This window comes from Homo sapiens, chromosome 5, assembly GCF_000001405.40.
Source record: "Homo sapiens chromosome 5, GRCh38.p14 Primary Assembly".
NCBI lineage: Eukaryota > Metazoa > Chordata > Mammalia > Primates > Hominidae > Homo > Homo sapiens.
Window position 1 is genome coordinate 163,200,281 of NC_000005.10, and position 13,278 is coordinate 163,213,558.

At 39.2% G+C, this 13,278-nt stretch overlaps 1 long non-coding RNA gene across 2 annotated transcripts in view; it reads right to left on the minus strand.

The window, feature by feature from the left end:
- Positions 1–13,278, minus strand: part of LOC105377700 (uncharacterized) — a 348,217-nt gene that overhangs the window by 111,175 nt on the left and 223,764 nt on the right. The window contains exon 3 of one of the 2 annotated variants that reach the window (XR_002956233.2): positions 10,516–10,567. The exons of the other annotated variant lie outside the window; for it this stretch is intronic. This is a non-coding gene — a long non-coding RNA (uncharacterized LOC105377700). The remainder of the gene's footprint in view (positions 1–10,515; positions 10,568–13,278) is intronic. 2 annotated transcript variants of the gene reach the window in all.

Here is a 13,278-nt window from a genome sequence, read left to right on the forward strand (position 1 = left end):
CTTAATTAAAAGACATGTAAGGAAACTCTCCTCGACCTTCCTTTCATATACACCTCATGGGTGTAACTGTATGAGGACATGATGCCTGGAGCTCTAGCAATCATGTAGCAGCCATGATGCGGTGGTCCTAATAGTAAAAGTGAAATCACCAAGAATGGTAGTTCGCTAACAGATATAGAAAGCATCGTCCTTTAAAGGCATCATCGAGCTGTTGAATCAGCTAATCCTAAAATCTGTCCCCACATCTAGACTTTTTGTTAAATGGATAATAAATATCCTCATGATTTCAGCTTCTTTTAGTTTTATTTTGTTAGAGTTAAGAGCACCATAACTGTTTTATGTCGAATTATGCCACTCTATAAATTTGTTCTTTCCCACTCCAACTTATGTTTGTCTACCTGAACCTGATCTATATATTAATCAAAGTCCAATGACATTTTTGACACCTGAAAACCTCATTCCAAGGGAAGAGAGCCCTACTCTAGTTCATTAACCTTTATTGTCTATAGCATTAGTTCAAACATCTCCCAGCACATCAGAACCATTTAGGAACTTAAAATATCCAGCTTCCCAGGCTCTGCTTCAGACGTATTAAATCAGTCGCTGAAAGGAAAAAAATCTGGAAATTTGCATTTTTAAGAAGATACTTGCATGATTGTTGTGGTCATCTATATTTAGGAAACACTGATCTACATTGCATTAATACTTAGTTTGCATGCTTATTTTCTAACGTCATAATCAGAGATTTGTTAGCTTCTAGAGGACAGAAACTAAGCCTTGGGGGTGATGATATGTTTCCGTTTTTCTGGCATATTTTCTGTCTTCTGAGGTAATATTACTTAAAGAATAGCCCACATCCATGACAGGTGTAGAAATTATTTTAGTTGGGAAATGATATGAAATGGATAAACATGATATGCTTAATTTAAAATATTGCTTAGAATCCAATTTCAAAGCAGCTTTTAAGAAGTAATGGGGATAAAGTCACCTACAGGAAACTAAGTAAAAGAGCCCTGTCAGAATCTTTTGTTCCATTAGACACCAGGAATTCTTCCAATTTTATTTTTATATTTTCATTCTATTTATTTTATATAATGGTAACTTAAACAAAAATAGTATGTAAAAAGGGTGGAGGTGGAACTCAAATGGCTAAATATTGGAGAAGATTGTTCTGTGGGATTGTAGCAAATAGATAAAGTCTTAATTTTTGTAGCTATGATGGTAATCTCTTTAACTAGAAAAAATATTGAAAGAAAGTATATCTTTCTACTTGTTTTGGTGCCTTTCACTAAGTGTTGCACAGAATAAGAAATGCATTAGTAAAAAGAGAAATAAAACCACACATTTTCTGCCCTGTACAGTGGGGAGTGCATCTTATTCACACATTCAGTCCTTCATTCATATATTCATTGAGCATCCACTATGCAGCAAGCACTTTTCTACTGGCCATTTGGATGCTGCAGTGACTAAGCAATAAAACCTGGACATTTTCATTTTTACTAAGTAATATGGTTTGGATGTTTATGCCTTCCAAACCTCATGTAGAAATGTGATCCCCAGTGTCAGAGATGGGGCATGATGATGAGTGGTTTTTGGGTCATGGGGACAGATTCCTCATGAATGGCTTGGTGCCCTTCCCATGGTAATAAGTGAGTTCTCACTCTCTTAGTTCACTGGAGAGCTGGTTGTTTAAAGGAGCCTGGCTTCTCCTCCTCTCTCTCTCATCATGTGATACACCAGTTCCCCCTTTGCCTTACACCATGATTGGAAGCTTCCTGAGGTCCTCACCAGACACAGATGCTGGCACCACACTATCTATAGAGCCTGCAGAAGCATAAGCCAAAATAAACCTCATTTCTTTATAAATTATCCAGTCTCAGGTATTCCTTTATAGCAAGCTTGTCCAATCCACGGCCCACGGGCCACATGCGGCCCAGGATGACTTTGACTGTGGCTCAACACAGTCATAAACTTTCGTAAAACATGAGGTTTTTTTGCAATTTTTTTTATCTCATCAGCTATCATTAGTGTTAATGTATTTTATGTGTGGTCCAAGATAATTTTTCTTCTTCCAATGTGTCCCAGGGAAGCCAAAAGATTGGACGCCACTGCTTTATAGCAATGCAAATGGACTAATTAACACACCAAGCCACTTAGATGATTGTGACGATCCTTCAGGTTTCAGAAGCATCAGTCAATATTACACAGATATTTAGTTCATATTTCACTAACACTCATCTCACAGAGCATATATTTTCCATGCAGGATAAAATAGTAAACAAACTTAGGACAAGTGATATATTTTATATCCAGTAACAAGAAAAGGCTCCACTAATAAGGTAACATTTGAACAAGACCTGCAGAAACAGAGTAGTAAGTAATGGGATATCTAGGAGAAGGGTGTTCCAGAAAGAAGAATCAAGGAAGTCCCTGGAGCAAGAGCTTAACTGGGAATTTTTATTTTTTTTTTTTTTTGAGATGGAGTTTCGCTGTGTTTGCCCAGGCTGGAGTACAATGGCGTGATCCTGGCTCACCGCAACCTCTGCCTCCCAGGTTCAAGCAATTCTCCTGCCTCAGCCTCCCGAATAGCTGAGATTACAGGCATGCACTATTACGCCCAGCTCATTTTGTATTTTTAGTAGAGATGGGGTTTCTCCATGTTGAGGCTGGTCTCAAACTCCTGACCTCAGGTGATCCGCCCGCCTCAGCCTCCCAAAATGCTGGGATTACAGGCATGAGCCACCACGCCAAGCCCTTAACTGGAATATTTAAGAGATAGCAAGGAGACCAGTATGCCCGGGAAGCTGAGTGACAAGGAAAAGAGTAGAGAATCAGGTTAAAGAAGTAGTGGAGGGGCTGATCTTGAAAACCTAAGCTATTGAAAAGTCTTTAGTATTTATTCTGGAAGAAAAGAGAGGCCACTTGAAGATTCTGAGAAGGGCATGATCTCACTTATGTTTAAAAAATATATTCTGCCTGCTGTGTTGAGTGTAGACCATAGAAGAAGTGTGGCAGCAGGAAGATGAGTTGGATGATGAAAGCAGTAACGTGGGCAGGTTGAACTATGATGGTCATGATGAAAGGGACAAGAAAGAGATCAGTTATCTGTGTATTTTGACAATAGAGCCAACAGGATTTCCTGAAGGCTTAGAAGTGAGATTTTGAAAAAAAAACTGAGGAATAAAGGATAACTGCATGGTTTTTGATTTTGTTCTTTTGTTTTGCTTACTTTGGGGCTTTTTATGTGTTTTTTTATTTTGTTTTGTCTTGTCTGAGCAACTGGAAGGAAAGAGTTTCCATTTATTAAAGTAAGAAAGACTCTTAGAAGAGTAATGTTGGAAAAGAAAGAGCAAAATTGGAGTTCACTTTAGTACCTACAATATTAAGTTTAATATGTCTACAGTATATCAAAGTGGAATGACAAGCAGACATTTGAATATATGAGTCTGGAGATGAGGAAAGAGGTCAAGAGTAGGACAAATTTTGGAGTTGTTAATATTTAGAAGATATTAAAGTAATGAGATCTGAAAGATTCACAGAGTAGGGCAGTCTGGATTAAAGAAAAGTCACGATGTAAAGATTTAGCCTTGAGGCAACACAAATAAGTTGGGAAGATAAGGAGAAACTAGCAAAGACTGAAAGAAAGAGCCCAGTGAGGTATAAAAAGAACCAAGAAAATTGGTATCCACAAAACTAAGTTGAAAATTAGGGCATGAACACTGGTGTCAAATGATCTGAAAGGTCAAAGGAAATAAGAACTGGGGACTGAACATTACATCAAATAAAAGGAAAATCATTCATGATCTTGACAAGCACAATTTTGACAGATTGAGGGGGAGGCCAAGAGTGAATGAGAGGAGTGATCTTGGGCACAGCTGATAGGGATAGGTATTTCTAGAAGTTTTGTCATAGAGTTCCTGAAGAATGTGATAGGAGTGAGAGGAGGAAATACAACAAAGAGATTTATTTAATGGGTAATTTTCCATCATGTGATTATACTGATCAAAAATTACAGTGGAAAAATTGATTTACAGGAGAGAGAAGAATGTCTAGATAATATCCTTGGAAAATCACAGGAAAATGGAAGCTAATGAACCAGAGGAAGTGTTGGCCTCAGGTAGGAAAACAGACAGTTTTTCCATAGTCAAAGAAGGGATGTCAGGATAAGTAGATAAAGATGCAAGTAGCTCATGTATGTAGTAGCAACGAATGTACTAGACTCTACCGGACTTCAAAAATCCTAAAAATCTGCATTTTATTTAACAAGAAAGAAAAATATATCATGATTTTGTTTTTACACGAATAGCCTTTATTAGAGGATTTTAGTTGGATCCAAGTACTAAACATGGTTTCACAAAGGTATTCTGACTCAATTAGTTGGAAAGGAAAAGTACAAAAAAATTAATATTCAGATATGTAATCAATCAAAACCATCTTGCATTCAAATGCCTCCTAATAATAAATGAGGGCCTGAAGTTTGAAAACTTTCTTCCACTTTAGTACATTACTCTTACTATTTTTACTATTCACCATATGATTAATAATAGCATAACTCAATGATGTCTAATTTCCTTTTGACCATAGTTGGTCCAAGCTACAGGATGAGGCAATCAACTGTAGCCTGAAATAGTCAATGCTGACATATCTTTATCAACTTTCCCAAACAATTTGACTTAACAGTCCTCAAGTTATAATAAATTTGATATTGAAATATTTTCAAAGCCTGGAAAAACTGATAATGCTACTAAATGGTGCACATCGGGATGGCATCCAAAGGTGATTAACTGCTTACTCTCTCACTTCAGGCCAAAGTCCATGGAATGCTGAAGCATCAAGTTCTTAGATCAGGGTCAGACTTGATTAATGCCCAAAATAAATCAATAATATAGGAAAAGTTGAACAAGATTGGCGGTTAAGCCCTTGAGAACAACTGAGGTTTGCATTTCTCATTCTGATGAGCTAACAACAACAACAAAAAGAAATACTGAAACTAGACAAGCAGTTGTAAAATGTAAGTGTATTTTTCCATAGACTAGAAGTTTATATAGCATATTCTCATATGAGAATATATGCCATATTTTCAATATTCAATAGCACCCCTAAGTGAAAAAAAATCTTTGCCCTATTTAAGACGATCTGATATTTATATATATATAACTACTACTGTCTATATTTATGTATATGTATATGGATGTTTATATGAAAACTTCTCACAATTGGCCACAAAATTATGGCTGAACCAAGACCTGCAATTACTTTATTTTTGTTAGTTGTCAGGAATCAGTTATTCTTCTGCTTCTGATATATTATATTACTTCTATCTCTTTCTATCTTAGCAGACAGTGAGTCGCCCTAAAAGCAGAACAATTCTTTTTGGTAGTACAAAATTAAATTGTTTACTTGCAAATATTGAAAGCTTTTAGAATTTGAACCTAGACTTTATCCATCATTTGGTAACCTATCCTTCAGTATGGCCAAATGAAAATATAAAATACTTTGCTCTGAAAGGGAGAAATGTCATTATGTAATAGGCAAGATTGTCATTTTTTGGGATATTACTTGCTGAGTCATTAATAAATAGATAAATCTGCATGAGGTGCATGTCCTTGGAAAATCAACACTGGTAATTTGAAAGAAATGCAAGCCCCTGACAATCAGAAGAGGTGGTGTTGTAAAGGACAAGTGGAGCCTTTCAAGTGTTCTAACCTGCATGAATCATTAATATTTCTTCAATTATTTAGGATACAATTTTTAGTTTTTACTGAAGGCATCATGAGAAGATTTCTCATAGCCATGTTTAGTGGTTACAATACCACTTCTATTAACCTAAATGAGAATATCTCATTTTATGTATGTGCCCACAACCACATCTCAATGCTAAAGATCAAATGCAAAGTTCAATAGATTTTTTTTAACATTAACCAGTTTCTCTGTATTCATCTCCAGAGTTACTAAAAGCACTTTTACATTTTAAAATGCCTGTGTCATAAGGAACAGCAGCAGAAACAACTAGAAATATAATTGGGCCCACTGTCATTAGCTGATTTATAATTCCACATGTAAAATATAATAATATACATGCATTAATGGTTTTAACCATAGTTTTCTACCTGTGGAACCAAATGTAGCTTTTCTCATTTTTTTCCTAACTAGAAATTTCAGGCTGAGTCGCAGCTAGAACTCAAAAAAAGGAGGAAAATTAGTCAGAAAGTCTTTGAAACAAGCTATTAAAAAGTACCTAATTTTCTTATCCATATTAATAGAAAACAATTCTCTCTATATAATGTCATCTAATACTATAAATGCAAAGTAATGTCATACGTAAAATAGACTTTCACTAACATTAGAAGCATTTCTTCGGGATTCAGTCCCCCCCAGCTCCTTGTTTTTGAGACAAGATCTCACTCTGTTGCTCAGGCTGGCGTGTAGTTCCATAACTATAGCTCACTAGAACCTCAAACTCCTGGATCCAGCAATCTTCCCACCTCAGCCTCCTGAGTAGCTGGGACTACAGGCACATGCTACCACGTGCGGCTCATTGAAAAAAAATTAGAGATAGGGTCTTTCTGTGTTGCCCAGCCTAGTTTTGAACTACTGGCCTCAGGCAATCTTCCTGCCTCAGACTCCCAAAGTGCTAGGATTACAGGTGTGAGCTACCACCCCTGGCCAGGATCCACTTCTTCACTCTTTGTGTCTTTTTTGTGGTTGGGAAGCGCATAAAATGTACAGAATCCTCACCCTTGATTATACGCAAGAACAAGCCCTGGTTATCTGAAATCTATCTTTTTCATCAGGAGGAATGCAATTCCACAACTCCCGAGGAACCCATGGCTTAGATTTCATTATTTATGATTTGTGTTCCGATTATGAGGCAACATTCAGAAAGCAAGATAAATGGAAACGTTTTTCAGTTTCCATTAGTGACAGCAGCTTGTCATGTTCCTGTAGCAAACCCCAGCAGTTGTTCACACATGGCATAAATGGTAGAAACTAGTTACCACTCCACATCTACCAAAATGTGAACATTATTTCTTATCCTCTTGCTTTCTACCCTACCCTCCAGTAAGGTTATAGCGATTAAATATTCAGTAGATGACATATTCAACAATTCTGTAGACCCAAATATACCCAAACAGTATTTTTCATTAAAAAGGAGGGTTTTTTCCCATTCATCAATAATGCATTAAAAATGTGTTTCTACACATTCTAATGGCAATATAGCTTAGTAGAGAAAAAGGAGGCATTAATGATTGAAGACCTACAGGCTACTCTAAGCCACTAAACATTTACTATTGCAATTCTGTCATTTTTCAGCTTCCCTTGCTAGGATATGGGACTGGGACCTGATTACAAACAAGGGCTGTGAGATTTTGATTAAGAGAATGCTAGATACATGGTTACAATGGACAGTCAAGGGCAGCGCGCACTTTCCAATTCTATCATCATGACACGCTTCCCCATCGGGGAATAGGCAATGACATAGTGAGAAAACAAGTTCAATGGAGAATGTCTTTGTGATCGAGTCAGGTCTCAAGGCAGAATTTTAAAAAGTGTGTATCCCGGCAATCCCACGATTTTTTACAGTCTTTTCCTTTCACTTGTTTAAACAGAAGCAAGGATCCATCTATTACCTTCCCAACCTGCCCATCGTGGCTACTTCAGAAACCAGAGTTCACGTCTAATTGGCTCATTCATTCTGAGAGCAGAGACACAGAAAGGGAATCTAATTTCACAGTACATGTTGTGTTTTTATTAACTTGTGCATTGAAGAAAAGTCCAGCCATGTTTTAGAAAATCTATAAATAAGTACAAAGCACAAACCAGTTCCTTCCCTATGAACACTTTCCTCTGGAAAAATCTCTTAACTAACTTTCAGCTAAATTACTCACTAGATTAACAAACCCACTCTATTCCCTCTTATAAACTCAGGAAACTGTCTAATACCCATGTCATAATAAAATTATAGGAGTCTGTAAGAGATAAGAAAACCAAAGTGTTTTTCCTCCTCTCACACACTCAACACAGCACAGTTCACCTCTGGTCAACAAAGTGTTGTAGGGGACTTCTTCCCAAAACAATCAGTTCTCTAGCACATACCAACTGGTTGTCCTATAATTCACTTCAGTTCCAGTACTGCCTGTCTGGAGATAGTGTCAGGTCTCACATATTAAGAGCTCAGTCCCACAAGACTGCTTCCACTTCAGATGTCATTGTAAGCCACAGGTTGTGAGCTGTGCTTCTGACCAACTAGCTATAAATCAAGGCTCCCATGACCCCCTCCTTGAGTTTGATTATTTTTCTAGAACGGCTCACAGAACTCAGGGAACACTACTGTTGACTGGTTTATTTAGAGGATATAACAAATGATATAGATGAACAGCCAGATGGAAGAGGTGCAGAGGGCAAAGCATGTGGCAGGAGTAAGGAGCTTCCATGCTCTCTCTGGGCACCTCACACTCCAGGAACCTTCATGTGTTCAGCAATCTGGAAGCTCTTGAGCCCTTCAAAGCTAGTCCTTTTGGGTTTTTATAGAGGCTTCTTTATGTAGATAAGATTGATTAAATCATGTGCCATTGGTGATTGACTCAATCTTCAGCTCCTATCCACTCCTAGAAGATTGGGGTGTTGGGCTGAAATTTCCAACCCTCTAATCCTGCCTCTCTTTCTGGTGAGCAGCCCCCATTATGAAGCTATATAGGGGCCCCCAGGCACCAATCGTCTCATTAGTGTTCAAAAAGATATCACTTTGGAGATTTCAAGGTTTTAGGCACTATGTGCTAGGAACAAGAAGCAGAAACCAAATACATTTTTCTTATTGTATCACAATATCACCGCATCCTCCTAGCACTCTACCCAATTATGGGCCCACCAGTTGGGCTGTAAGAGTCAGTTGTGTTTGTTTGTTCCTATTGGCTTTCTACCAGCTGCACTTGTTGAGGTAATTAGAACATTTTATTAACTATTACATAAACAACTGAAATAAGAGTTCAAAAAGAATGAAAAGGTGTTTTGCTATGAAAACTAAATTGGATGTTTCAAAAACATGTTCTAAATGTGACCACTATCAAAAATTGCTATATAATTTGGTGTGAATGAGGTGGAGGCATTACATCCACAAAAGTCTAGATGGAGAGTGGAAGCCGGCAGCTCCACAAAGATTTTAAAATTCTGACCCTTTTTGAAGAACTAGAATCTGGAAACAGGATATGAGAGATAAAGCATCATGGGTGTAGTTTAGCCACGAAAAAAGATGCAGAATGTCAATCATTGAGGCTCATCTCAAAGGAAGGCCTCAAATTATTTTAATGAAATTGGCAAAGGAATAGAGAATGTCGCATTCTTAGGATGGTTCAACTTACAATTTTTCGACTTTCCGATGGTTTTTCAGGGTATTAAATGCATTTCGACTTACGATATTTTCAATTTACCTTAAGTTTAGTAGGACTTAACGCCACTGTAAGTCGAGTGTATGCGCTTCATTTTTTATGATTCTCTCTCCAAATAACTCTCTCAATTAATTCACCACCCATTGTTCCTAATTGCCTCGGGTAGGAGGGCTTCTTTTGTTTTCCTAATCTAACCATGTTTCACTTTCTCCTGATGCTCACTTTGCTTCTCCCAAGCCAAATCCGACTGAATAATATTTATTAAGAAATCTCCCTGTAGCAGGACTAAAAATGCTGGCAAGTAAAAAGACTGCAAGGCTTTGCATTCTAACAGGGAGTAGTGATAAATTCTATCCACCTGAATGAATCAAGGTTTCTTCTGGCTTCCATTTACTTTTTTTTAAATTATCCTACTTTAAGTTCTGGGATACATGTGCAGAACATGATGGTTTGTTACACAGGTATACATGTGCCATGGTGGTGTGCTGCACCTATCAACCCGTCATCTACATTAGGTATTTCTCCTAATGCTATACCTCCCTTAGCCCCCAACCCTCCGACAGGCCTCAGTGTGTGATTTTCCCCTCCCTGTGTCCATGTGTTCTCATTGTTCAACTCCCACTTATGAGTGAGAACACGCAGTGTTTGGTTCTCTGTTCTTGTGTTGGTTTGCTGAGAATGATGATTTCCAGCTTTATCCATGTCCCTGCAAAGGACATGAACTTATCCTTTTTTATGGCTGCATAGTATTCCATGGTGTATATGTGCCACATTTTCTTTATCCAGTCTATCATTGATGGGCATTAACCCTGTTATCATCCCATGACATTTAGAGCGAAGAGGGTGGCCAAGTTGTTCATCCAGATGTAATTTACGGCAATTTAAACTGAGTCTAGAAGTTAATAACTTTAAAATAATGCATGCACCTCATACTGAGTTTAATTTGGGTTTATTAAAAGATGGGTAATTTATGCCTTTTTGCCCTTCATGTATCCTCCTTTAAAAACAAGTTTACCAGGAATTGAATAAAAGCTTTCATGGCACTCTCAATATTTTCTGAATTGTCAGCTTTTTTTAAAAAAAACAGCTTGTCAGAACTTAAATGGTTAAAAAAGATTCACCAGCTTACCTACAACTCCTCCTTGGGCACAATATCAGCAGAAAGCACATTTCTCTTCACTCTGAAATTGTAGAAAGTGACACCGTTGTGAAGCCTCTGGGACTCCTCACTAAAATGAATATTCAGCACCAAGAACAGAAACTTTGGCACATCACATTAAATGTAACCTTAAGAAGGCTTATCATTTTAAAGTCATGTGCATCTTATTCCCCCAGATTTCTCTTCTCAACTGTCTAACATGACTCGGCATCTCAACCCAGTCAGCATTCATTTCGCATACCTGAGGGAGAAAGAGAATAGCTCCCTCACTGAAGCTCTAGCGCAAGGAGTTTGGGCCAGTCACCTGTAACAGCCATGCAACCATCAAATATTCAGTATTAAATCAACCAAGGCTATCAGGAGAAAGCCTTGCATACTATTCAAGTCCTTTAAGGGTAAGAATGTATTAGAAATTTTCAGCTACAATTCTTTGGTTGCAAATATCAGAAACTCAAGGAAGCTGGCTTAAGCAACAGCAGGAATATATTGTTTCACTTATCCTAGAGGTAACAGGGGCGTGAGGTGGCCTCAGGCACAGATAGTCGACAGGTTCAAACAATGTCATCATGTATCTCACTCCTTGCCTAATCTCTACTTTTCTAGTTAACCTGCACTATATAAATACAGAGATGAGGTGTATGTGGTCCTCAGAGTCTGCAAATTCAATAACAACAGCACCCCTGAGAGTCTGTGTCAGTTATTTGACTATACCATCCCTATTTGCTTTACATGCCCATGCTTTGGTAGGAAACTCAGGACCACATGCTTTTTTTTTATTTTTATTTTTTTTTTGAGGGAGTCTTGCTCTGTCACCCAGGCTGGAGTGCAGTGGCATGATCTTGGTTCAAGCGATTCTCCTGCCTCAGACCCCCAAGTAGCTGAGACTACAGGTGCGCACCACCATGCTTGGCTAATTTTTATATTTTAGTAGAGATGGAGTTTCACCACTTTGTTCAGGCTTGTCTCAAATTCCTGACCTTAAATGATCTGCCCGCAACCTCAGCCTCCCAAAGTGCTGGGATTACAGACGAGCCACCATGCCCGGCCAGGACCACATATTTAAGAACCCTTTCAGAATTGGAGGATGTGGGGCCCAGGCCCTGTGGCTCACACCTATAATCCCAGCACTTTAGGAGACTGAGGCAAGAGGATCACTTGAGGCCAGGAATTCGAGACCAGCTTGGATAACATGGTGAAACTCTCTCTCTCCTAAAAAATGTATACAAAAATTAGCTGGGTTTGGTGGTGCATGCCTGTAATCCCTGATACTTGGGAGGCTGAGGCACAAGAATTTCTTGAACCCAGAGTGAGGTTCCAAGATGGCCAAATAGGAACAGCTCCAGTCTACAGCTCCCAGTGGCGAATTCCCTTTCCTAGCCAAGGGAAGCCATGACAGATGGTACCTGGAAAATTGGGACACTCCCACCTTAATACTGCACGTTTCCAATGGTCTTAGCAAACAGCACACCAGGAGATTATACCCCACGCCTGGCTTGGAGGGTCCCATGCCCATGGAGCCTCACTCACTGCTAGCACAGCAATCTGAGATCGAACTGCAAGGTGGCAGCGAGGCTGCGGGAGGGGCATCCGCCATTGCTGAGGCTTGAGTAGGTAAACAAAGCAGCCGGAAAGCTCGAACTGGGTGGAGCCCACCACAGCTCAAGGAGGCCTGCCTGCCTCTGTAGGCTCCACCTCTGGGGGCAGGGCATAGCTGAACAAAAGGCAGCAGAAACTTCTGCAGACTTAAACGTCCCTGTCTGACAGCTTTGAAGAGAGAAGTGGTTCTCCCAGTATGGAGTTTGAGATCTGAGAACGGACAGATTGCCTCCTCAAGTGGGTCTCTGACCCCTGAGTAGCCTAACTGGGAGACACATCCCAGTAGGGGCCGACTGACACCTCATACAGCTGGGTGCCCCTCTGAGACAAAGCTTCCAGAGGAAGGATAAGGCAGCAACATTTGCCGTTCTGCAATATTTATTGTTCTACAGCCTCTGCTGGTGATATCCAGGCAAACAGGCTCTGGTGTGGACCTCCAGCAAACTCCAACAAACCGGCAGCTGAGGGTCCTGACTGTTAGAAGGAAAACTAACAAACAGAAAGGACATCCACACCAAAACCCCACCTGTACATCACCGTCATCAAAGACCAAAGGTAGATAAAACCACAAATATGGGGAGAAACCAGAGTAGAAAAGCTGAAAATTCTAAAAATCAGAGCATCTCTTCTGCTCCAAAGGAACACAGCTCCTCACCAGCAATGGAACAAAGCTGGACGGAGAATGACTTTGACGAGTTGAGAAAAGAAGGCTTCAGACAATCGGTAATAACAAACTTCTCCGAACTAAAGGACAATGTTCGAACCCATCGCAAAGAAGCTAAAAACCTTGAAAAAAGATTAGACGAATGGCTATCTAGAATAAACAGTGTAGAGAAGACTTGAAATGACCTGATGGAGCTGAAAACCATGGCACGACAACTATGTGATGCATGCACAAGCTTCAGTAGCCAATTTGATCAAAGTGGAAGAAAGGGTATCAGTGATTGAAGATCAAATGAATAAAATGAAATGAGAAGAGAAGTTTAGAGAAAAAAGAGTAAAAAGAAACAAACAAAGCTTCCAAGAAATATGGGACTATGTGAAAAGACCAAATCTACATCTGATTGGTGTACCTGAAAGTGACGGAGAGAATGTAACCAATTTGGAAAACACTCTGCAGGATATTATCCAGGAGAA